Source organism: Homo sapiens, chromosome 11 (genome assembly GCF_000001405.40).
Source record: "Homo sapiens chromosome 11, GRCh38.p14 Primary Assembly".
Lineage (NCBI taxonomy): Eukaryota > Metazoa > Chordata > Mammalia > Primates > Hominidae > Homo > Homo sapiens.
Window position 1 is genome coordinate 92,324,466 of NC_000011.10, and position 26,828 is coordinate 92,351,293.

General features: G+C 39.5%; 1 protein-coding gene and 1 pseudogene across 10 annotated transcripts in view; one reads left to right on the forward strand and one right to left on the reverse strand.

Annotated features, from left to right (window-relative positions):
• Positions 1–26,828, forward strand: part of FAT3 (FAT atypical cadherin 3) — a 671,656-nt gene that overhangs the window by 99,648 nt on the left and 545,180 nt on the right. The gene's annotated exons all lie outside the window — the stretch shown is intronic.
• Positions 11,481–12,054, reverse strand: NDUFB11P1 (NADH:ubiquinone oxidoreductase subunit B11 pseudogene 1; annotated as a pseudogene).

The window sequence follows — 26,828 nt, forward strand, 5'->3', positions numbered from 1 at the left end:
AGAGAGATGGGGAATGGCTTATTGGTAGAGCAGTTAGACCACAGTATTTATCAATTAAGTTCACCTTCTTATATGGGTGTGGTTCGTGGGACCCCAAGACAATTACAATAGTAACATCAGAGATCACTGATCACAGACCACCCTAACAGATATAATATGAAAAAGTTTGAAATATCATATTCTGAAATGTGACATAGAGACATGATGTGAGAACATGCTGTTGGAAAAATGGCGCCGATAGACTTGCTCAAAGCAGGGTTGCTGCAGATCTTCAATTTATAAAAACATAATCTGCAGTGTGCAATACAGTGAAGTGCAATAACATGAGGTATGCCTGTCCATGAATAGTGGCATCTAATCTATTTCATGACTATTATCATTAATCTAAAGATACACTGATGAAAAGACCAATTACTGCTGACATTTCTGCAAGTTGGAACTCTGTATATTCACCAGAGGACTTAACTGAAGACTGACACCAGGAATTTGAGGATGGATTCTAGCAGAGATATTCTAGGAACCAGGACCTTTAATCTGATCACATTTAAAACCCGTTTCAAACATGCTAGTTAAATTATGTCAAGTCTCTGGGGAGATATCTCTGGAATCTGAACATTCTCTGGGGATTGTTGTTTGACAGGTGGAGCAGGTGAGACTCATACAGCATGTGAAGTCATTAAGGTACAATTATGACAAGCTTGACTTGATCCTTTCTGATTTGCCTGCCAGCCTTGACAGCTCCAAACAGTTGGTGGGGACCTGAAGACACCACTTCTCTGGTTCCTTACAGCACAAACAGGGAATATATTCTGCTTCCTTTGGCTAGAGCTACATGAAAGAAATTTTTGCTGAGAAAGTGTAGAAAGCCCTTAGGTTGATGGTTAAGTTAGAAACTTTGGCCCTATTATCAGTGACTCCCTAGGTGTACACAATGAGTATAACAGTTTTTTGTTGTTGTTGTTTGTTTTTTGTTTTTACCTTAGTCTTCTTCCTCTTCATTTTTTTAACTCCTTTTTAAACCTGTGCTTTAATTGCAGGTAGACATTTTCTCATTCTGACAGGCAACTCCTTACTTTAGCCCTCATTTGACGTGTGGCTAAAATTGTGTCTGTGCTTTGGAATGCAGGACTTTGGCATGTCTGCAGCAGCTTGAGTGACATAGATTAAGGGACATTCTTCTTTTTTTGAGATGAGTCTCGCTCTGTCACCAGGCTGGAGTGCAGTGGTATGATCTTGGCTCATTTCAACCTTCACCTCCTGAGTTCAATTGATTCTCCTGCCTCAGTCTGCTGAGTAGCTGGGACTACAGGCATGCATCACCACGCCCAGCTAATTTTTGTATTTTTAGTAGATACCGGGTTTCACCGTGTTGGCGAGCATGGTCTCGATCTCTTGACCTCGTGATCTGCCCGCCTGGGCCTCCCAAAGTGCTGGGATTACAGGCATGAGCCACCATACCTGGCCGGGCCATTCTTTATTTGTGGGGATGTGTATATTTCTTTTATGCATTACTAAGCCCTTTCAGCTTATGGTCTAGCTCTCAAGCCATATCCATGTTGGTGAGAAAGTTTAAAACACACAGTAATTCTTGGGTAGGCAACATAATATTGCAGACAACCAGTACTGAACACCAGAGTCATGGAGGCTCCATCATATACTAGCTATGTGATTCTGAGCAAGTAGTTTTTCTTTGAAGCTTCAGTTTACCTATCTGCTGAAATGTGAAAAGTGGCTAATTAAACCTACCTCATAGAGTTGTCGTAAGTGAAATGACATGGGGTTGGACATATTTGCTTTCTAAAGAAACGTGATGTTATTTCAGCAATACCAGGGTAATGAATATTGTGTAGGCAAAAACAATCCTGTACAATATTGCAGACTTCAGCCTAGTTTTTGTGCAAGCTGCTTTCTGAATTAAAGGAATTAAAAACCAGGGAAAGAGTTGATCCTAATCCTTCTAACCGCCTTCCATGTGAATTGAACACACTTAATGTCTGTATTACTTATTGGATGCGGTAGACAAAGAAGGAAACATTTCAACCAGCCATCTACCTGTCCGAAAGCCCAGCCTTTCCTTTAGGACAACATCTCTTCCTTTCATTGCCTCCATCAGGATGGTTGTAGTTGATGGTGGATATAATAGATGTGACCTTATTTGACCATGGCTGGCTCTCCACCAAAGGGCATCCAAATAAATAAGCATGAAGCCTGTTGCTCCTAACCCACTCTGCTGGGACCAGGCGCAGCCCGCTAGTGTATTTTCCTTGTACAGTCTGGAGGAACCCAGCCTCTATCCCTGCTTCATCAGAAACTGGAGTCTTATTTTCTATTGGCTATTTACTCTCAAGACTTAGAAATAGGGACCTATATTGACTCACTTCTTATTTAGATTACTGAGTAAAAGTATAATAATTCTTTAATAATTCTGGGAACTGAAGCTTTCTGGAGTCAGCATTCACTGGCCCAGTGCAAAGTAACTGCTTTTTTATCCTACTATTGCACTTGAGAGGCAACTTGAAGTTTCCTTTCCTTTACTCAGTCACTTTTCAAGGGGAAATAGGAATAATCAGAATTTTAAGATATTCTGTATGCAGTATAGGTGCATTTTAAATAATATTTATTAAAAGACATGGAGTTACTTTTGCTTATCATGCAACTTATTACTGAATTTTTCTTTTTTGTCTGTGTTGAAAAGAAAAAGGTGGAAGAAAAAGACTTATGTAGGCTTCCTATTAAAAGGCACCTAGACTGAATAGAAGATTCCCTTTTATTTTTTTTTCTACTTGCAAAGCCAAGAGTCAGAGCCATGGAATCAGAGAATTCAAGTTCTTTATAGTTCAAGCAGAATGAAGCAGGGAATGGACAGAAATAGGTCATATTGTGATCGCAAAACTAGGACAATGAGGAGTTTCTTGGAGGATTCAAGCTCTGATGGATTCTTACTTTGGGGCAGAGCATTTCAGAAAATTCAGAAGCCAAGAGATATAGTATATGGCAGCCTCTAAAATATTTTAAAAACGCTTACTAGTCTGCATATTCTTTTCTTGTAAAAAGAAGTTAAAAGATGCGTTTTCTTTAATCACTTGTCAAGACAGTGGCTTTCTCCAGGATTATAAGACAGTGGATTAAATGTATCTTTCCCATTGCTTGTGGCCCTTGAATGATTTTCAGACATCATTGACTCCACACATGTTTAAAACGGAGTCAGCAGCAGCAACCCTTTCAGTAGCTGAAAGCTCCGGGTCCCATCCACTGGGTCTGCAAGTAAGTAGCCATTTGGCAGTGACTCTGAGGAAGTCACTTAACCCAAGAGAGTTCTCACCAATAAAACAAGGGGGATAGTTTGCCTCTTTAACTTCTAAAACGAGTATGGTATTCTCACTTTGGAGTGCAGTTTCAAGGTAATCTTGGAATTCTTGAACTGTTGCTCTTGATCTAAACAGTTACAAAAAGATGGAGAGAGAAGAGGCAGAAATTTCCATGAGTCCCTGTGTCTACCTTTCTTTTTCTCTTTCCAACAAGAGGATAGGGTGGTGCCCATGAAGGCTATGATTTTCAGCCTTGCAGACAGCTCTGGGAGTTGTTTGGGCCCCAGTTCCTGTCTTGTTCCTGCTGCTCATCCATTTAGGATTTGAGTATCTCTCTCATTCCTTTTTCTTCTCAGTTCTGCCTGGACATTAAGTGCTTTTGACTCCCATACCTTACCCACTCTTGCCCTCCTGCTTCCAAATGCAACTCCCTACCTCCTGTCAACTCCTGCACTCTGAACACGAAATCATACTTAGCTAGTTGCCAGATTATTTGATTAAAGCAGTAGAAGCTAGGGTGACAAACGATGCTATACTTCAGGGATATTTGCATTTTTAACATCTGGTCCTCCTGAAAGGGATCTCCAGTTGGTGAAATATACACAGGAGATAAGAATAACTGAAATGCTTTTGTTCTATATAAAAGGCTTCATATTGATCATTGAGTTTTCTGTAATCATCGTACAAGGTAAATGAACTAAGTAGTGATATCCTCTGGGTATTTTATTTTATTTTACAGCTGAACCTCAGGGATTAATCAGAAATTGTTCAGGGTTATCTGCCTAGAAAGTAACAGAGAAAGAACTTGCACTCAAGTCTTCCCATCCAATGCTCTGGCTTCTGTAAGAGCCACTACTTCCCAAGTGCCACCTTACGAGGCACGTGACAGCCGTGTGTATAGGGGACATAATGACTTTAGAAGTTGACTGCTAAGTTAGATGTAATTCAAATCCATGTGCCCTCAGGTTTGCAGCCATAAAACATCGATTACCACCTTTTTGGCTTTCCACATATTTTAAAAAGTGGATTCATTGAAGACAGAGGTGATGAATTGTGTGGCATAGAGAAGTGGGGATATTTTTTAACTGTGACTTCAGCTGTTGTCCACCTGGGGAGGGAGGTGGGGTGATGTGACAGTGGGGTAAAGCACTAGGCCACCATCGACTTTGAGGCTTTAAAAGACTGTTTAAATTACCAGATTATAAATAATTACTTAAAAACCTTCAAACAATAAAGAAGAATATGAAATAAAATATACTATCTTTCTCTTTCACTATTCTAATCCCTCTTCTTTTATTTTTGAGTGTGTAATCATCCAGACTTTTTTTTTTTCAATACCATACAAAAATTGGTGCTATAGTTTCAGCATGCCTCTTTTGCTAGGTATTACATGTGGGGGTGCTATGGTCCACTCCAAACCTCATGTTGAAATTTGATCCTAATGTTGGAGGTGAGGCTTAATAGGAAACCTTTGGGTCATGGGGGTGGGTCCTTCTTGAAAAGATTAATGCCCTCCCTCCGAGATGAGTGAGTGTTTGCTCTGTTTGTTTCTAGGAGAGCTGGCTGTTAAAAAGAGCCTGGCATCTCCCCTTTTGCTCTCTTGCTTCCTCTCCTGCCACGTGATCTCTGCACATGCTGACTTCCCTTCCCCTTCCATAGTAAGTAGAAGCAGCCTGAGGCCCTCACCTGATACAGATGCCAACACCATGCTTCTTGTACAGCCTGCAGAACACTGAGCCAAATAAACTTCTTTCCTTTATAAATTACCCAGCCTCAGGTAGGCTGTTAATTAAGTTTATATTCTGCTAGTCACGTGGAATATGTACATCTTTTTATAGAATTTTTTTTTTCTCTTTGTGAAGACACACTACTGTGAAGGTGTAGTTCCTATCCTTGTCCCAAATTTTTAAAAACTATTTGTGTTCCACTTAGCTTTTATTTAATAAGAGCTCTTTATTTTTAGGGAAAAACCCCAAAACCGAAAACAAACAAAAAAACCCTCTCTCCAGTTCTAGCTTGTTAGCTTTTTCCAAACCTTTGGGAGCTTGCCTTACCAATCAATGAGTCAGAAACCTTGACAGTTTCTGCAGTAAGAAACTGTCGGGGAGGAATGAAGTTTGCACACTGGGTGATACCAGAGGAAGATTTGACCTGTGCTTAGTACACTTCAGCTTTATTTGAATGTTTTTCACAGTCATTAGAAATCAGGCAAGTTTTTAAAGTCAAACATTAAAATGACTACATTTTTAAAGTGAAGGTTGCAACACTTAGCATGAGAAGAAAGCTAACAGACAAACCCAAAAACAGTTGAAATGTAGTGGAAAGAGAACTGAAGCAAAAACATTCTCTTCCTAGAGATTGTTTAAGACCTTCAGATGCACTAAACATTGAAAGATGATAATGTGCCCATCTATGTAAGTCAAAACAAAATGAGACCTTTTTGAAATATTACAAAACTCCATGTATGTTGAAACTAAAATAGTGTGTTTCTAGATTTTATGATTGCAGAATTTGGCATTAATCCATGGAAGCTGCCCTATCCCCCTCTCTGCTTTATTCATGTCCTAACAGTTTGTCTGCCTGTTGGAGAATCTAGCAGAGCTATCTGTGTGCCCTCTGCCTTTTAACTCTGAGCAAGACATTTTCATTGTCTTGTCCTTGGCTTCCTCAGCGGTACAATGAAAGATAGTTTATACGTTAAATTTCAGGATGCTTTCAGGAACATGATTTTATAAATAGCTCTGTGAGGTTGGGGAGAAGGAGCAAAGTCAGAGAGTTTAAGTGTTTTGCCCAGGGTCCCAAGACAAACAGAAGTACAACTCAGGTCTTCATGTTCTGAGTGTAGTTCCTTCAGCTGTATTGCGTGGGTTTTGAGTTTTTAATAAACTCTAAGGGCATTGTGTTGGGTGATGGACAAAAATATGCAAATAAATGGAGTACTTTATTGCTTCATTATTATTTATTTGGGTAAATATTCATTTGAATGTTGCTATTATGCCTACAAAATGTGTAATTGTTTTATTTTTTAGAATATTAGCACTTTGGAAGGAAAGGCTTTAAATATCTGATAAACACAACAAATATTGAATAATGTGAAGTATTTTAATGAGTTCACATTGACTTTAGTTTGCAAATTATGGTAATGGAGTAAAGGAAGGGATTTCTTGTTAGGGAAATTGACAGGAGTAAAGGGTGTGTGTGTGTGTGTGTGTGTGTGTGTGTGTGTGTGTGAGAGAGAGAGAGAGAGAAACATTTACAGCTTTTCAGATGTTATTTAATGCTATACACAGTTGTTTAAATGTTAAGAAAATAAAACCTGTAATGAAATACTTTATCATGTCAGATAAAATATATAATTAGGAGGGCTGTTTGAGATAAATTTCAGCCTATCTTTAAGATGTGGTAGATCAAGAGTAATTTAACATGATTTAGCGCTGCTATTGCACAGTTAAGTATTGTCTGTGGTTGAATAGATAATGAAATGCAGTGCATATAAGGTATGTTTTATTTCTTCTTTTTTTTTTTTCAAAATGAGAGTTTCATGAAAACCTCTCTGAGGTATTAAAAGTCCTTTTCTGATCTGAATAAATATTTTCTCTTCAGGCAGGTCATATATTATAGTTTGTTTAACAAAATAAAGGCTTGTGGCAGAAGCACATGAAATGCAGATAATGGTAAAATGACACTAAACATAGCCCCTCAGGGCAGGTGTGGAGTGTTATTTTAGCAGTAAACCCCTTCTTATTAAAGTGTCTGTCATGGGTGTTTTGGAAGCAGCTGACCTTCTTTCTTACAAAGTGGCTATAAAACCACATCCTGACTTCTTTTCCTTTATCATGGACTTAGATACTCCAGAACTGAGGTACTAACCTTCTTGTCTTTGGCTTTGTGAATGTCCTAACACAATGTAGTCTAAAGTAAATGAAAAACTGAATTGGAACTCAGATTTTCTTGTTTTTTAAACGGAATTTTCTGGCCTATGTTCTTGATACCCACTCATTTAGAAAAGTTGTTGACTAAAAATAGTTTTGGCATATAATCATGGGGATTTGTAAGTGGAAAAATAATACATTAAACAGTAATACATATATAAAGTACTAAAGCTGGGATAAATTAACTTGACTAAAGGGCCATGATGTTTTCTTAAGATAGCCTTTTTCAGTTTAGGGTTCCTTATCAAATCCTTCTGCTTCTTATCTATCTACTCCCCTCAATTATATCTCACACATGTTAGCTACAAGAGCCATCATTTTCCTGAAGCAGCTCTTCCATCATGGTGCTAACCTGATCATTAAAGGAAAAAGCAGGTAGGGAGGGGGCTCCTGAAGTGCCCAAGTTTAAAGTTCATGGTCTTCATTTTGACATTTAGGGCTTGTGCTTTGTTCACCCTGTGTATGAGCTTCCTCCAGTTGAACTATACTGGGTCACTGATTCTTTCTCAGACAGTTCTTGCACTTTCCCACATCTGTGTTTTTACTTCCTCTGCTCCATCTGGATTTCGGGCCAAAAAGATTCCAGTTAATCATTAGAATTGTTTCTGTCTTCTGTGATCCACCTCAGATGAGAGCATAATAACATGGTGGGTAAGAGCCTAGGCATTGGAATTAAATACACTTAAGTTGGAATTATAGCTCTACCACATATGAATAAGAACATAAGCCAAATACCTTAATTAACCAAGCTTGTCTAACCTGCCTTATTTTGTTGTTGTTGTTCTGTTTTGTTTTGTTTTAGGCTTTTAGCAGCTTGAAGACATGGTTTTTGGGTTCTGTCTCTAGTGATAAGCAGAAGAGAGGGTTGAGGAAGGGGCTTTACTGGCCCAACCAGAAACAGAAACTAAAAACCCATGACTGTATTCTCTCCCTTGGGTACCCTTAAAACTCAGTTTTACCATCCATAAAATGGAGATAATGATACCCACCGAATTTATTGTGAGAATAAAATAAAATAATGTATTTAAGGCATACATGATCACAATATCTGGCAATTGGTAGGCACTTAGTAAGATACTATTTATTGCCTTCTATTCCATAGAGTTCCTCCATTTTCTTTCTCCTACACAGCAATTAGTCCCTGCTCTGTGTCCTCATAGCCCTTTGTTTCCTTGCTTTATAGTATTTGCTATGTTATGTTAGTATTTTCCCTCCCTTAAGTTCCTTGAAGTTGATCTCTGCTAGGTATTTCATAAATGTTGGCTGAATTAAATTGAGTTGCAGAACCAGTGTACTTAACAACAGTGGGGTTTAAGTGATCTCAGCGTTAAAAAACTAGAAATTTTAGATAATTGATGGCTCCAAGGTCAAGCCAAGAACCCAAGCACCATATTTTTATGTATAAAAACTGGACAGCAAGCTGAAAATCAGCAGAATAGAAGGCCAGATACTTATAAGTCCTACCCAAATGACTGGGGAGGAATGAAGAGGTCAAATAGCTGCCTTAGGTCATTCAACTGCTTTGCAATTCCACATGTGGAATCATGTTAATGGTATTTGGGCTTCAGCACCATTGGTCTGATCCTTTGTAAAGTTACAAATATTTATTATAATAGTGATTCCTGTGTGTTTCAGATTCTCCTTAAGTCATATTAGTAATTTAATTCTCTGACTTACCCTGGAATCATTGAAATTCTAGTATAAGAGAGTCAAGGATTCAAGTAAAGCAGCAGCTGGCCCCGGGACCTGGGACCAAGAGGGAGGTTTAGTAAGTCATCAGTGTCTGTCCAGCTGTCTCTCTGCACCTTGCCTTCTTCTCTTCTCTATACAAGTGTGTTTTCTCTCAGAATCCCCTTATTTGGTGGAGAATTTGAAGCTGCAAGTCCTGTAACATAATCAGAATTCTCCAGATTCTAGCCTTGATCAAAAACTAGAAAAACCATGGAAGTTTTTTTATAAGCTCTAATTATGTTCAAATTATCATTCTCTCTACTTCTGCCTCATAAATATACATCTTACCTTAAAAGTATTTTTTTTTTTCTCCATGAAAACAGTAGCAAGGCATTTTTGAAGGAAGGGTGGGATGTTTGGTACTCTCCTCAGTTATATCTCATACACAGGAGCTACAAAGCATTTATACTCTTCCTAAAACATCTCTTTAATCAAGGCCCTTCTTTGATTCCCCCTCCCCCCCAACAAAAGCTAAAAGGGAGAAAAACTTTTGCATTTTCTCCTCAGTTTAAATAGATTACAGTTAGTGAGAAAATTGAGGGTGAAAATTGAATTGGTAAGCAATGTAGTTAACCAGTATTCAAATATTTACATTTTGCCATGTCTTCTCATTTAAAGTGAGATCATGAAGAAGGGAGACTAATGACTTAAAGGGGGAGGTTGGGTGTGGTGGCTCACCCTGTAATCCCAGCACTTTGAGAGGCCGAGGCAGGTGGATTGCTTGAGCCCAGGAGTTTGAGATCAGCCTGGGCAACATGGCAAAACCCTGTGTCTACTAAAAATACGAAAATTAGCCAGGTGTGGTGGCATGCACCTGTGGTCCCAGCTACTCAGGAGGTGGAGGTGGGAGGACCCCTTGAGCCTGGGAGTCAAGGCTGCAGCCATCCATGATTGCACCACTGCACTCCAGCCTGGATGAAAGACTGAGACCCTGTCTCAATAAAAAGGGAGAATAACATCATTCCATTTGGTAGATCTTTAAAAGTAAGAGTAATGCATTTTTAATTTTAACAAAATTAAAATTTAATGAATTATGCCTTATGACTTGACAGGTTCCACTTCTATCAGGATCCATTTTATACCTTCTACAAAAGAGACTGATCTATTGCCTAGGGTTTTTTTTTTCTTTCTTTCTTTTTAATTTTAATCATCTATAGTGGGATTCCAGAAAATACTGTCAACAAAGAAGTGATTCTGCCCATGAGTTAGGAGGGCACACCCCACTTGCAAATAATGCCATTCATTCATTCATGTCTAGCTTATCATTCTTTCCCTGGTAGAATGTGGAAACACTACCTGGAGGAGAAAAGATAGCTGCCTCAATTATGGAAGATGCCAGTTGAAACAGCCCCAGGCCAGCATATGTGAAACCTGTTCAGAGTTTCTCTCTTCTATGGGTGAAGAGCTGACTCAGATAAGAATTGGCCCCAATTAAATTACGCTTACGTGAGGGAATGTCAGGCTGGAGGGACTGCCCTGCGTGTTCACCATTGATTATACCTGTGGAAATTCTTATCCAGAAGGGACTGGTGTCACCAGGATCTTGATGAGCTCTGCATATATTACAAAGGAGAAATGCTTACTACATTAAAAGTCTGATGATGTCGCCACAATGTTTGATGATGCCGCAGCAGGAACATTAGACATGAAACCATCTCTGTCCTCTGCTGACTTTGAGTATCTTTGGGAGTTACCTGTAGTCCATTTGTCCCCATCTTATGTGTTAGATCTATCTTCTGTTGGTCTACATGAGAAACCTAAACACTTGTTTTTGTTAAAAAAAAAAAAAAAGGAAAAATAATCCCCACCTATCTTTCCCTCCTGACTTAGACACCGAATGTATTCAAAATTCCTAAATGATTTCAAATTGAAGGTTTCACTCTTTGACTTGTTATTTAGGTTAAGTGGCTTTCTTGACAGGCAAGAGTTTTGCAATCGATTAGATGATGGACAGAAGGTGATGTATTGTAATTATTATGCATGTCCTTGGGTTTAAGTGAGGTAATTGTATGAAATTATGTAGTCAATAGCTACTCCCTCCCACTTCCATTCCAAAAATATTGTGGCTGTGCTGTAAAGCTCAGGTGTTCTGCACCTTATATAAAAAACCTTAAAAGTACCATCCCTAAAGAAGGCTTATTTAGAAACATATATATATTTTTTATTTTGAATTGTGTAAAAAAAGAAACATGTAAAATTGACCATCTTAGCCATTTTTAAGTGTACAGTTCAGTAATGTTAAGTATATGCACTTTTTTTTGCAGTTGTAGGTTAGTGGTTTTGAGGTGGCCCTAGTCTAGGATCAAGGGGACACTGTGTGTCACATCAATTATGAACATGTTATAAAAGGAAATTGAAAATGAAATTAAAATGGAATCAGTGGAGAAGGAAGAAGGAGATATATTAGGACAATCATTCCAAAATCAATCCCAAAATCAAACAGACACAACAAAGTCCAAAGTTTCAAAAACATCAGATTGGTATGCATTGACTCCTATGGATTTTTTTTTCAGACTTTCAGCCCCTTTAATTAGGTCAGAATGGCAGGCAAGGGGTGGGGAAGGTGGTGCTTCTTGAGCTCCACTCAGCAACTGGTCAGTTCTCATCCTCTGGCAACTGGATCGTGCTGGGGTTGAAGCAGTTGGATTCCATGATGGGAAGGTCTTTGGCCTCTCGGTATTTCACAAGCATCTCAGCTCTGCAGTGGGCCCACTCTCGCATCCTGTAATCAGGCAGATAGGCCACAAAGGTGCTGCCAAGGACCGGGACAATGGAGACGCCAAAGAAGAAGACAACTCACATGTTCCAGATGTCCAAAATGGGGTCCTTGTCATAGCAATGGGAGTCTGGGTTCTTCTCATAGAAGTTTTTGTCCTCAGGATCTGGGTCCTCCTGCCAATGTACGGTCAGTTCCGGGGGCTGTTTTCCCACCACAGCAGACAGGGCGACCACAGTCCTGGAGAAGCTGGATTCCCAGCGGAGGTGGGTGGCCAAGAGCCTTTGCATCACCACTGCCGCCAAAAGACTGGGAGCGCTCAAACTTAACAGCCCAACTGCCATGACAGATAGTCCTACAGGGTCTCCAACTCCTATAGACTCTATGTGGATTTTATAATACAGATGATAAAGATTTGATGCCTTTCCATGAACTGTAAAGGACAAAATTATACAAATAATTTATCTGCTTCATGTTTACTTAGTGGAGAGATCAATATTATGATGGCCTAGAACAGAACTGAATTTTTTGGCCATTTTTAATAAAACCAAATAACCAGAAGGTATTTGATTAACAAAATCAAATAATCTGAAACTATCAGATAATTTTTCTTGATGGTCTGGTAGTGAAATGTTGAATCCAAGTAAACTCGAGTAGGAGAAGTAGAGTCCTAGGCTATATGACTTTCATCTAAGATTCTGTGAGAGGATGGCAAATAAGCATGTTCTTTGGTCTTCCATTAAAACCCTTTTAAAATATAATAGTATTATAACCACTTACTTTTGGTCTGGGGCTTGGACCCTCATTTTATCGTTGCCATCCGCCAGCCTGTGTGACATATACTCAGCCCTCAGAAGCATTGTTTTACTTCCCTGGTGAGGCTGGTGCTGTAAACATCCGCTGAAGTTCCTGCCTCTTAACATCCCTGACTCTAGAAACACAAACCTTTAAGTTAGCTTAGATAACATAGCAATGATGTGTAAGATCTTGCAACCTGGTAAGAACTTATTCTGTGTTAGCTATTTGCTACACTGTTTCCCAATTCAACAAATATTTCTTTAATGCCTGGTACTTGATCTTGCAGAAATATGTGTGAGGCAAAGGGTAGTTGATGCCCGAATTTCTGGTTCAGGACATTTAGTCTAAGTAATTTTTTGCCAATTTTATCATTTGTTCTTTCTCCCAAAAACATAAAAGTAATGGAAGGATGGTATTGTTAAGCCACATAAGGCTGGGAGCTAACATTTTTCTTTTTGATCTGGAAAACAGTTTTTTTGTTTGTTTGTTTTTTGTTTTGAGATGGAATTTCCCTCTCATTGCCCAGGCTGGAGTGCAATGGTGAGATCTCAGCTCACTGCAACCTCTGCCTCCTGGGTTCAAGCCATCCTCCTGCCTCAGCCTCCTGAGTAGCTGAGATTACAGCTGCCTGCCACCACGCCCAGCTAATTTTTGTATTTTTAGTAGAGACAGGGTTTCGCCATGTTGGCCAGGCTGGTCTCGAACTCCTGACCTCAGGTGATCCATATGCCTCGGCCTCCCAAAGTGCTGGATTACAGGCGTAAGCCACCGCACTTGACGGAAAGTAGTTCTTGAAAACAATAGTATAGTCTATTGGATTATTCAAGTTCAAACCTCGAAGTACTTGTTGTACAAGCTTCTCTGTTGCTAAATTCCTTATTAATATCATTTACTCTTGTAACATTTGTTGCCAAATCATGGGCATTGAAAAGCACGTTTCTGGGCTTACATTTGTAATGGCTGAATGACATTTGTTCATAGTGGTCAAATCACTAGAGCCTCTTCTTTAGATTTTTTTTTAAAAAACGAGGAAATAGGAAAGGCATGTTAAACACAACAATAGAAATCTATTCTAAAAGAAAATTCAGATCTGAACTCCTTGGGTGGAATAGTTTGGTAAAGGTTAAACAAATTTTCCCTGACTCTTGTGGGACATTAAAATAAATTTCATCTAAATTCTTGTCAGCTTCCCTGTACAGCTGCCCTAAACATCTGCTGTGGATGCTCAAAATTGCTGCTTTCCCCATTTCACAGTTTACATATGCTGTGTAAACTATTTATTTGTATTACATAATTAGTGGCAACATGTACACTTGGTTTTTAACAACATATACTCAGGGGTGGCCTAGAAGAAAACTATCTACTTACCTACATGGAATGAGGCTTCTTAGTTTAAGGCTTATCAAAGCAATGATCCTATTTCCTTTGCAGAAGCTGTTGATATTAAGGAGAGGCATTTAAAATCTGTTTAGGTTATTGTAGCTTGGGGTAGAATTATGGGGATTGTGCTTGATTTCACAATGCGGGGCAGGATTTGACAGCCGCTGCCTCGTAAACCATGCTGCAGAGTAAAATGATTTCCTCAAAGCCATGGAAAAGTGAGGCCACTCGAAGGCCTGGGAGGCTGTGGTCTTGGTAGTCAAGCAGAGAAAATTATGCGAGCCTCTGGAGAGGTGGCCCTATGTTGACTTGAGAAGATTAGTCTTCTGGGGTCTTGATTTTGTTGGCAGAATAAATGCGTCTGTAAAGAGTGAGATACGAGTCAGGTTGGCCAAAAACTAGAGAACATTAGTCCTTGGGAACAAACGGGGATTCTAGCTGTCAAGGTGACTGATGGCCTTGCTACATGCGAACAGTTCCTGGAGAAATCTTGGTTCTACCACCAAGAGGTGATGGATCCTTAATTATCTGTTGTGGGTGGGGACCTCAGAACCCAGTCAGGTTTACATTGTAGGGATGGAAGTCATCCCAGCTCCAGTGGAAGGGAACCCAGTTTCTAACCTCAGCCATGCAGAGCTGACCTTGCATGGAACATGATCCCCAGAACCTCTCAATGGCAGCAGAAGAGCTCTATGCAGTGCCTCAGCTATGTAAAAATTCCTTTTGGGAGTTGTTTTTTTCTATTAATATATCATTGGCTCTATCCTTCCCAATATAGTTGAATTAGTTCCGCTAATCTAGGGTTTCTCAACTTCAACAGTATTGACATATTAGGCATGTAAGTTCTGTGTTTTGGGGGCTGTCCTGGGTAGGACATTTAGTAGCATCTCTGGCCTATACCCACTAGATGCCTGCAGCATCATTCTCATTGTGATAACAAAAAATGTCTGTAGAGATTGCCAAATGTCCCATGGGGGTCAAAATTGCCCCTTACTCTATGGGAAAACACTGATCTAATCCTATGTTTTCTTGGAGTTTCATAAGACATTTGTAGTTCATTAAACAACAAATATTTATTGAGCACCTACTATGTGCCCAGTAGTATGTACGTTTTGTGTGGGGTAACTGATGTCCAAAGAGAAAGTGCCTTTCTTCGTTCGGTTTATAGTCAAGTTGGAGTAACAGATATTAGTCAAATAGTCTTACTAAAATATATTTAGAATAATAGTAAGTATTGCAAATGAAATGTTCTGTGTGCTCTGAGGACACATGACAGGGGCCAGACCTAATTGTGGAGATGACATAAATCTGTCCTGAGGAATATGGAAGCTGCAGTGACTCTGTGCATGTTTTTATAATGGGAAATCAGGGCAGGGGAAGCCAGTTGAACTTGGGAAATGTGCAGACTCCTGAGGTGGGACCTGCTCTACTAGGATCAAAAAAAGGCCAGTGTCGCTGGAAAGCAGAGAGTGGTTTGAGATAAGCCAAACAGGAAGCCAGGGGCCAGGCGCGGTGGCTCAAGCCTGTAATTCCAGCACTTTGGGAGGCCAAGATGGGCGATCACGAGGTCAGGAGATCGAGACCATCCTGGCTAACACAGTGAAACCCCGTCTCTACTAAAAATACAAAAAATTAGCCAGGCGTGGTGGCGGGCCCCTGTAGTCCCAGCTACTCGGGAGGCTGAGGCAGGAGAATGGCGTGAACCTGGGAGGCAGAGCTTGCAGTGAGTGGAGATGTTGCCACTGCACTCCAGCCTGGGCAACAGAGCAAGACTCCATCTCAAAAAAAAAAAAAAAAAAAAAAAGCCAGGCTCAAATTTGGCGGAACCTTTTCAGCCACAGCCTTGTCAGTTTTGGTCTTTATTATCCTGAAAGCATGGGAAAGGCATTGAAGTGTTTCTGCAGGGCTAGGATTTGTGTAGGTTTCAGCTAAGTGGCTGGTTGGTTGTAGCAGGAGTCCTATGGAGGGGATGAGAGTGGAGATGTCAGACTGGTAAGCGGCTTAAGGCTGTAGGGTTGCTGTCATCTTTTGCACAGTCAACTGATACCTGGCCCCTTAGTTGTTCTCTCATTCACCTCATTGGCTGTGAAGTGTAATCTGCTGTGTCTCCACGGCCTTAACTGTATTTGAGCTCACTGAGTTCATATGCATTCATGTTCTGTTTGAACCGTCTGCATTGGATTGCTTTCTCACTCTGGCTTTCAGTTTCAAAAATGATACCAGGATCCCAAAGAGGGGATTGGAGGAGCAAAACAAGCTGATTGTCCTTGGTAACTTCATTTCAAGGATACAACATGTCCTAGGAAGTCACTTCATTGGCCATACCTTACCCACCCCGAGTTCTAATTCTTCCAAAGATCCACGTTGACCTGTTGTTAGGAATATTCTGTGGGTAGTCCCATGTGGTGATTGAAGGGGTGACCTTGGTCTCATTAGCACTGAGTACTAACTAATCCAGGCAATGTGGGCTTATATGCACCAGTCAATAATAAATAACTTTAATGGGGACTATGGGAGAGCTGAAGGAGCCAGATTTGCATTTTGCCTTCTTAGCTAAGACGCAGTTGTCAAAATTTGGGATGTGCAGCAGGATTTGCGGAGATCCGGAAGACTAGTTTTCTCTTAGGATGAGCTCCATCACCTGGCTTTGTCTTAGTCTCTGTGGCAGCACCTCTAGGGGGCAGCATTCTACTCAGGCCAACTCTGAAGGGCTGGGCGATGTCACATCTGGTCTATTTGTGGTTGCCTTGGGATAGTAACCCTGTCCTGGACCTAGAATGTTAGGCTGAGGTTGCTTATGCTGAAATAACTAGCTGGAGGTTCTTGGACACTTTCTTTAAGGCGTGTCTACAAAAATGTCTACAGATGTCCCGTCCCTGTAAGAAAATATGTTTTCTTAAGTGAGCATACAGGAAGAGGATCCCACTGACTCAGGATTCTGCAGCCTCGGGCTCTTTAGTGGAGATGGAGGGTAGTTGAGAGGTGTCCATGTTGACCTGTTCTTAGGAAGAAAGACTCTGTGGGTAGTCCCCTGTGGTCATTGAAGGGGTGACCTTGGTCTCATTAGCACTGAGTACTAATCCAGGCAATGTGGGCTTATATGCACCAGTCAATAATAAATAACCTTAATGGGGAATACGGGAGAGCCGAAGGAACAAGATTTGCATTTTGCCTTGTTTGCTAAGACACAGTTTTCAGTGATGGTAATATCAGGAGACAAGACTGACAAGATTTCTGGATTGTCAGCAAACTTTTGGATTGTATTCCTTGACCCACATGCAAGCTCTTTTAAATCCTTGGAATGCTTATTGCTGCCTATTTCCAGATAAGCTTCTTTTTCTCTTCCCATGCTATAATTTCTACCTCTCTGCAGTATGTTCATCCTTCTATTAATATATGTTAAGCTGTTTGGTTTCTTCTTTTCCTTTTTGAGTTCATTCAGATTGCTGCCTGAAATACTATTTTAGAGTCTCAGCCATTTCGTGATATATTGTTTCTTTATTTCTTGCATAATTATTTTCTCCCTTCTCCTCTCCTGATACTCATCTGCTCATATCCCAACCTTCATGAAGCCAGATATAGCTAATATTATCCCATTTTAGAGAGCTGAGTGTGTATCACTCTTCTCATTCAATTCATTTTAGCAAGTTTTCATTGTCTACCTACCATGGATGAACTCAGTGTTGCTGCCTTACATTCTTGGGGGACGTTTAGCCAAATAGACAAGCACTTACAAAACCACCTGCTTGAGCCTGTGTCTGCTTTGTCTAGGGCAAGAACTGGTCCCATGTGTAAACGTGGTAAGATTTGGAACTGAATTATTATTCTCTCATAAGTCCTCCACAAACTTCAGGATGTCTTATCATTTGTTACATCTTTTCTTGGCGTTTCCATTCTTTGGAAAATGGTCACGTGATGCCCCTTCACCTCAATGATGTATGGCAGCTCTACGTATGCCCAAGCCTCCCCTCCCCACCATCCACTGGCTTTCCCCTTGCCCTGCGTTACCATCTCTTTCTCAACAGGAAAGGGGTGCAACAAGGGAAGGTCCTCTATCTTCTGCTTTCGTATCTTCCGATTTTACTTTGTAGATTCTCTTTTCCTTGAAAGAGACTCACTTTTAAAGAGGAATGGCAATTGGGATGGCTAAAAAGATGTTAACTTTTGGAAATATAACAGATGGCAGGAACTTGGCAGAGCAGTAAAAATCCATTGTGTCAGACTGTAGCAATCAGAGGCTCTCCAAGCACTTTTTTTTCTGAACTACATTTTGCCCCCCGACTATTGGAATTAACACTATTTATTTGTCCCATTTGAAATGATTTGGCCCCTTTTCTCTTCCAAGCTGTTTTTCCAGAGTAAGTGCTATTACTAGAAAAGGTTTTCTTTTTTTTCTTTCTTTTTTAAAAATCGTAAGCATGAGAGAATACTAATATATTTACCCTTTGGTTTCTGTCAGCGAGGCCTACAAGAGAAAAAATGAAATCATGCATTTTTCTGGCACATTTTTTCAGACAGCCAAGCATAGGAGCAAATTATATCCTCTCCTTACTTTTTTTTTCTCTTATACCATGATGAATTTCTTTCTCCAGAGAGAGAAGTGATTTTTAAAAGGCTTGAACAACATGCTAATCTTTCCTTCTGATAGCCCCTGGTTGAATTACTCCTGAATTTGAAGCATTTACTGATGAAATGATACTTGACATTAACCAGTGTTGTATGGAAATATTTCTAGTACCTAGGGAGAAAATAAAGGAGGGTATTCGTAACACTGCCGCTGTGTGGCTGAATCTTCCATTTTTCTCAGAATCAACTTGAATTACTCTTGCTGCATGCTGACTGACTTCTTTCCTAAGAGACCACTCTTAGACAGGAAGATTTGCACCACTGGAAAAAGCTAGAATTTACAGTATTATTATGATGAAAAAGGTTGGGTTTTGGTCGTAGTCTACTTGGCTATTTGGCAGAACCAGCTGAAGGCTTTGGTTAGGGATTTTTTTTTCCCTTGTGCAGAATGACAAAGGTGATATCATATCCCTGTAAATAAAATACTCTTCTTGTTATAAAGCCATACTTAGACTTAGAGCTCAGGGTAGACAAGCAGAGTTTTCCACAGAGAGGTGAAATATGACCTTGGCTTTTGGTTTTGTATTTCAGGATATTTTTGACTTGGCTGACTACTTTTGGCCATTGACTAAGTAAAACTAGATAAGAAAAATTATGAAAATATATGGATGATTATTCAACCTTGAGAAGATTCTTCTCTTCGTGTTAGACCTTGTAGCTCACAGAACTGTGCAAATTCTCTATTTGCTTTTTTTCTAGTGGGAAAAAAGTTTAGCACAGCAAATTATGGAGCAGTTGTCTCATTCTTCAGTCGAAATGTGGGGATGTGTTTATATGACAAGTATTGGAACAGTTTCTTCAGGGATGACACTCAGCTTAGTTAACATGAGAATTTGTACCCTATGATATGGTGTAGGAGGAAGGAGAATAATGAAAGTCTTCAGAATCTTGGGATTGATTATACCTCACTTCCAAAGCTTTCCAGGCAGCTAGAGCCACAGTGTCTAGCTTAGACTCAATGTTGACCCAATTTTATTTCACAAAACACTCTTTCTTTAAGACTTTGCAGTATAGGTGTGGGGTATAGGGGGAAAGAAAGGAATTCATGATCAAATAGATTTTTGAAATTGTACATATTATATCCCTTGGGATCCCAAATTACATAGCATGATTGTGCATGTAACAAGTATTTACTGAATTCTGACTATGCACCATGGAACTTCATTTCTAATAGTAAAAGTAGACAATAGGTGCTGTAGTCCTCACTTATCCATGGTTTCACTTCCCAATGTCTCACTTATCCACTGCCAACCACTGTCCCAACATATCAAATGGAAAATTCCAAAAATAAACCATTCATAAGTTTTCAATTTCATTCCATTTTGAGTTACCTGATGAACTCTCAGTTCATCCCTCACTGTTCCTCCAACGTCCTGCTGGGATGAGAATCCTCCCTTTGTCCAGCGTGTCCATGCTGTGCATGTTTTCCGCCCCTTAGTCACTTAGTAGCCATTTTGTTATCAGATCACCAATCCTGGTATTGCAGTATTTGTGTTCAAGTCACCCTTACTGTACTTAATAATGGCCCCAAAGCTCAAGAGTAGTGATTCTGGCAATTTTAATATGCTGGAAAGAAACTGTACACTGCTTCCTTTAAGTGAAAAGGTGTAAGTTCCTGACTTTCATAAGAAAAGAAAAAAATGCTGAGATTGCTAAGACCTAGAGTAAGAGTGAATCTTCTATCCATGAAGTTGTGAAGAAGGAAGAAGAAATCTGTGCTGGTTTTGCTGTCACACCTGAAACTGCAAGAGTTACAGCCACAGTGTGTGATAAGTGCTTAGTTTAGATGGAAAAGGCATTAAGTTTGTGGGTGGAAAACATAAACGGTAACACATCCCGATTGATGGCAATCGGGTTTGGTTTCAGGCATTCACTGGGTGTCTTGAAACGTACCCCCCTCAGATAAGGCTGGGGGAGGGCACTATATCTACTGTGCTTTCATATGGAGATTAAAAAGCAGAGTAAATTTTTAGAGGTGACTCAGGATGGGAGATGAGGGAGGTTTATTTTGGAGCATATTAAAGGCTCCAGGAAGTTCTACTTTAAGAAACCTCTTTATCTTTGTTCAACTAGTGTTTCCTAAAGAGTATTTTAGTTGCCTACCTATACAGAATTAGTGTGTCATGGAACACAGTTTGGGAAATAGTGGGCTAGCTATTTCCACAGGGTCTCTATGTTTTATGATTATAATTCCTATTTGGACTGATGTTCATTTCATCTTCTCCCTGGAGCCTGCTGTAGAGTTAATGGTGTATGCTGACTAGCCCAGTCTCCCTCACCAAAAATTGATTCAATTTTTACCATTTCAAGGCTGTTTGTTAGATACTATAAGAAGAAATAAGGCCCATAACTTTTCTTCAAGGAGCTATGGTCCAATGTATACTTTAAAGATACACATAAGTAACTAATCTAAGGAAGACAGTACTATCAGAAAGGTAGGTAGAAATAAAATACAGACAATATTTAGAGCAGTGGTTCTCAAAGTGGGGTCCCAGGACCAGAATTTCTTCAGAACTTGTTAGAATTTTAAATTCTCAGGCCCCACCCCGGATCAACAGAGTCAGAAACTCTGCAGTGGTACCCCCAAATCTGAAATTTAACAAGCCTTATGATGGTTCTGATGGTCTCTAGAGTTTAAGAGTCATAGCTTTAGAAGAAGTGGTGCTCACATTTGAATGGGGAATCTCCAAAATAGCTTCATAGAATTGGTGGGTGGCATTTTATCTAAACCTTCTGAGTAAAACTTGTAGGTGCAGATGGGTAGAGACCTGCATTCCTAAAGGAGGCAAGAGCTGTCAGAGTCAAATTCACAGTGGAGATCTCAGGTCTAGTTTTAGCTTTCTAATAGGCAAGCTGTGTGACCTTGTTCAAATCACATAACCTGTCTCAATCTGTTTCCTCAATGGTTAAACTAGGGTGTTGGGGTAGATAAGCTTATGATCCCTTTGGCTATAAAACTCAGTGACTTTACATGGCTTTGGCTCAGTATTTCATTATATAATGTGAATAATGGCATAAGCTAAATTATTGTGATTCAAATACTTAGTATATTATCTTATACATTCTCTAGCTACAGTGGTTTGTATTTTAAAGAAATAACCCACATCAAACCCTTTTTCTTCTTTTCAGGCAGCCATTAGCACCAACCAGGGAGTAAAACTTTATTCCCAAGTATGTCATACGAGCAGTCTATAACTGATTTCAGGAGCAAGGACCCAGAACATAAAGTAGCGCCATGAGAATGGTAATTTGGGTGGTATCAGAATAGGCTGCTCTAGAAGATAGGGCTAAGCAGTATCTGGCTGTTCTGGGACTCATCATTGCAAGGAGAAATCTTGCTTGAACTCCCCAGGAATTAAATGCTAGCTCTAAGGAGTAGTTCCCTAACGCAGCTGTAGCTTTTGGAGTTTGAAAGTGCACACACGGGAATTGGAATCAATTACAGAGCTCTGGCAATAGCTTTTGGCCATGTCACCATGCACAGGACCTCTCTGTGGCATTGACTCTGACCCCTGGCACAAGTTTGTGATCTGTGAAAGGGTAGCTTTCATATTAGGTGTGGTCCCTCTCTGGACCCTTTATCCTTACCTCAGTTTTACTCGTTTTTTGTTTTGTATCCCTGCTTCTGAAAACCTTAATAATTATGTCAGTTAATATTCACGGAATATTTACTATGTGCCGGACACTATGTTAAGCCTTTTACCTGAGAGTGTGAACTCTTATACTCCCCATTTTAAAGATAGAGAAACTGAGATTTAATGAAGCTTTCAATATTAGCCCCAAAGTCACCCAGCCACTAGATGGCAAGTCCTGGATTCAACTCAGGTTTCTCTGACCTTTGAGGCTAACATAGTGTTCTTCCTTTGCTTTTAGTAAAGAAAGGACATTCTTTCCTTTACCTTTGATGGGTGTTTTTTTCTACTGGAAAATAAAACGTAGAGTAGGTTGTAAATTTTACTCCCTGTCTTGTGATTCCCAGATTTTGTCTTCTCTAAAATCTGCCTTTATTAATGATAATAGCTAACAATTATATACAATGTGCCATGAAGTGTTTTAAGTATTTTCCATTTATTAACTCAAATCCTATTCGGTAGGCATTATTGTTCTCATTTTATAGAAGAATAAACTGAGGTGCAGAGAGGTTCAATAGCTTGCCTGGGGTTGTAAAGCTAGTAAATGGCATAGATAGGATTCAAATGCAGGCAGTCAAGTGCCAAGGTGCATGTTCTGTAACCATTGCATGCTCTGCCTTTGTGTTGGCATTGGCTCTGGCACTGCATACACCAGAGCAGAGACTGATCTTCCATTTGCAGTTTGAACACGGGTCACCTTCCTCAAGGACTCCTGTCAAGGGGACTCTATATTGACTTTGTTCTTTGCTTTACAGCCTAACATAGCAAATTTCTTGAGTACCCTCCCGATTTGGCTAACAAAATCCCCTCAAAATAGAAAAGATAGGAAGAGAGGGAATGAAAATGAAATATATTTTTAAAATACCTTTGGTAGTGTTCAGAAGTCTCACCAATTTAAGCAGACCAGATTAATGTTGGCAGAAAACAGCTTTATCAGGTTACCAAAGCAAGCATAGGTACCCTACAGAGCCAAGGCTGTCCCAGAGAGGTAGTCTCTGTGATTGCTGTTCCCTGCCCCCAAGGTCTCTGGTATTTATTCATCCATGGAAAGAAAAATCTGCATGCCCTTCTGAGTCCCACAGTAAGATCCATCCTAACAGAGCAGAAGGGCAGGATGGGGAGGCACACCAGGAATGCCTCTGAAAAATAAATGTCTCAAAGATTGATGGCTTGATGATCTCTTTGGAGATTATATCAAAAATTATTGATTATGTTAGTAAGTCGTAGAAAATAGGCTCTGAGGTTGGGAACTAAGTGCTTTCTTTAAAATAATCTAGAAGCAGTAGAATAAATCAATGTGCAGAGCATCTAAAATACTGTATCATATTGGCTTCACAAATAGCTTGGCTTCAATGTGGAAAGGGCAATATTATTTTTAAAAAAAACTTCAACAGTTGTCTTGGCATGCTAAAAAGAAAAGAAGACAAAATTCAATTCTATTATTTGCTTTGCAAAATTTTACAACATTCCTAGCTTCTAGCATTCATTTATTTCCTAATCAGTGGGAAAACTGCAAGGCTTTTTAAAATAATTTGTGCCAGATAGGGCTTTTTTTTTTTCCTTTGCCACAATAAAGATACAAAAGCCTTAAAAGATATTTTGTTTTCAACAACTGAATTTGACAAACTTAGTCCTGCTCAGTTTTTTGGTGGTAGGTCTGAATTTCAGTATGTGATAATACTACTCCATTTATGCTTGTTTTGAAATATTTTCTATTTGCATTTAAGACCACCGATTCCGGTTTTTAAGAAAACAATTCCAGCAATGTATCTTGCTGAAAGAAAAACTCACTATGCAAAAGCACCAATTTTTGAATAGTTAAATTGAATGATACATTTTCATATTATGATAGCATTCTTTGCCTTGAAAGATTCACAGAAAGATTTGTAAAAAGTAACTATCCCCTTAGGGCACTTTAATGTTTATTTATAAACAGTTAACTACTTAGAGGAAGAAATAACACCAGGGAGAGTAATATGGTGTCAGAAAAGGAAGATGACTCCAAAATAATGATAAACCACAGCTCTAAAATTTTAATGTAACTTAATGAAAACTAATTCAATTGAAGCGTGTTTCAGTTTGGTATTAGCTCTGAACCTGGGAAACTTGAGTCCTGGCATTAGGGGAATCTCTTCATTTTATGGACCCTGGTTTCTTCATCTGTAAACTCAGGAGATTGGAACAGATGATCTTTAAGGCTCCTTTGAACCTGTATAATTTCTTGATTCAGTTTCCTGAAGTAAGATGTGCTTTTTGTTGGGGAATAGGAAACGGAGCATATTAAAGGCATCTGGGCCTCTGGTTACATTAGTACTTAGGGTTCTGTTCAACAAACCAGTGTTGTTTGCTTCCTGTGTGGTGGGTGCTGTACTGGATGCTGGGAATAGAGTGATGTACTTCCCATCAGGTTTCCTTAAGTAGAAGTTCAAAGTGTGAATGAGGGGGCAGACTCAGAAAAGTTCAGTTGAACTGTATTTTTCATGGGGGAAGTTTTCCTCTCTGATGACCATGGAGTCTAGACTCCTTGGGCTAAGGATCGGCAAAATTACTGTTACAGGAAGTCTTCTCAGCACAGGATAGTGAGTGGGAAATAAGGCAGAAACTTTATTTGTATTTCTCTGGAGCATTCTGGGAGTGATCCCAGTATTTCACCTTGAGAGAGTGTAACCTAACCTTCACATTCCCTTACGAGAGACTCGCTTACTTTACCGTGTTCACATGTCCACAGTGAGCCTAAAAATGTCTCCACTGCTTTGGAGCCTTTTGAGATGATGAAATAGAGACTCCTGAGGCATACAAAATACTATTAAAGCTTCTGCTAGTGTACTTCTGTGATCACTACAGAGAGGTTCTTTTGCTCCCATATTTCAGTTGACTGTGCTCTACAAAGTAGACACCCCAATCACACTGTGGGCTTCGCCACTCTGCTAGGTAGGACATTTGAACCTACTGCATCCAGAAAACCCCAAATGTATCATTTTCTTAATAAAGTTTCCTTTGAAATGACCAGCAGCCCAGTGATGTCTTTCTAGGAACTTACTGAGCAGGGTCACCAGCGGCCATCTGACTTGGTCCCTGCCCTAGTTACCAGAGCTGCTGTCCACAGGCTGCCTGTTCCACTTACTTAGCATATGCAATGTCTCTAAAGAACTGCATGTGAAATTAACTTCCTTTATAGACGCTTACTCCCTTTTTCAGCTTTTCATTTTTGCTGTCTATTAATGCCTGTAAAGTCCCTAAATTAAACTTGACTTTTTCTATCTGTAACTCCATGTTTTCTACGGGATACTTCAGCAAATGATAGCAGCAAGATATCTTACATTCCCAGGCAGAACCAGCATTTGCATGCTCAGGGTTTCACTTCAGGAGAGTCTCCTGTAAGGTGGAGCTGAAAAAAAAAAAAAAAGAAAAGCCTTGTGGGGTATGGAGAGAGCCTGAGCTCTAATCTAGAGTCTGCTAGACTCTATCAATGACTATTAAATTTAGACAGTTTCCACAGTTTCATGACTATGTGGGTTAAAAGGTAAAAACTTTTTCCTATTTTAGCCAGTAAAATTAATCAAGGAGAGGGGAGAAAGGAGGTATTCAACAAGAAAAAGTTAAGTCTATTTAGACTTAACTAATAAAGTCGAGATAGGAAAATGAGGTTTTATATTATCATTAACAAAAAGGTTATAATAATATGTGCCTTGCTAACCTTGGATATGAAAGGGTTTTATAAACCATACAATTTGTAATATTTTAATATGTTAAACTCCTGTAGGGATTTTTTTTTTTTTCAGTTTGCAGCCAATAACTAGAACTACATTAAAACCAGAGAGGAGATAACCAAAAAGATATGCTGGGGGCAGGGATGGGTTGTACTTTTTAAAATCAATGACATATGTTGACTATTTCATTAGAATTAAATTATGTCATATATGCTTCTAGGATCCTTAATTATTTCATTCTTGCTTGCAGGTAATTTTGAGAGAGTGATTGTGTGATGGGGAAAAGCATGGATTTTAGAGAAAGATTAAGGTCTGAGATCCTGCTTTACTACTTGCCGGCTGGGGAACATTGTTTGGGCAAATGTCTCAACTAAATAGATTAACTTCTCTGACCCTCAGTTTTCTAATATGTCATTGGGTAAAATAGTACCTATTACTTAGGATTATCATGAAGATTAAATACAACAAAGTGGAAAAATGACTGACACAGTGCCTACATCATTACATGCCTGCAAAGAAATTCATTTTCCATCTCCTCTCATCTTCACGTTCCCTGTAAAGGAAGAAAAGGAGAATGTCAAGGGCTTGCAGAGTATAAGACTGGATGGAAGAACTCATATTTGGGGGTTCTAAAAATCTGATCCTTTGGGTATGAATAGACTTAACTTTTTCTTGTTGAATACCTCCTTTCTCCCTTCTCCTTGATTGATTTTACTGGCTAAAATAGGAAAAAGTTTGTATCTTTTAACCCACATAGTCATGAAACTGTAGAAACTGTCCAAATTTAATAGTCATTGATGAAAGTAATTGGAAGTATCTCTTGTAATTTCTAAAGTTTTTCTTGCAAGTAATCACTCTTACCTCCCTTGTTCTGAATAGTTCTGGATATCACTCCAGTCATATAACTCCTTAGGGATTATTGTCTCTGCTTTGTAACTTGACACTTTGTTCATTCTCATGGCATTGCATTATTCATAAACCTTGATCAGTTTAAA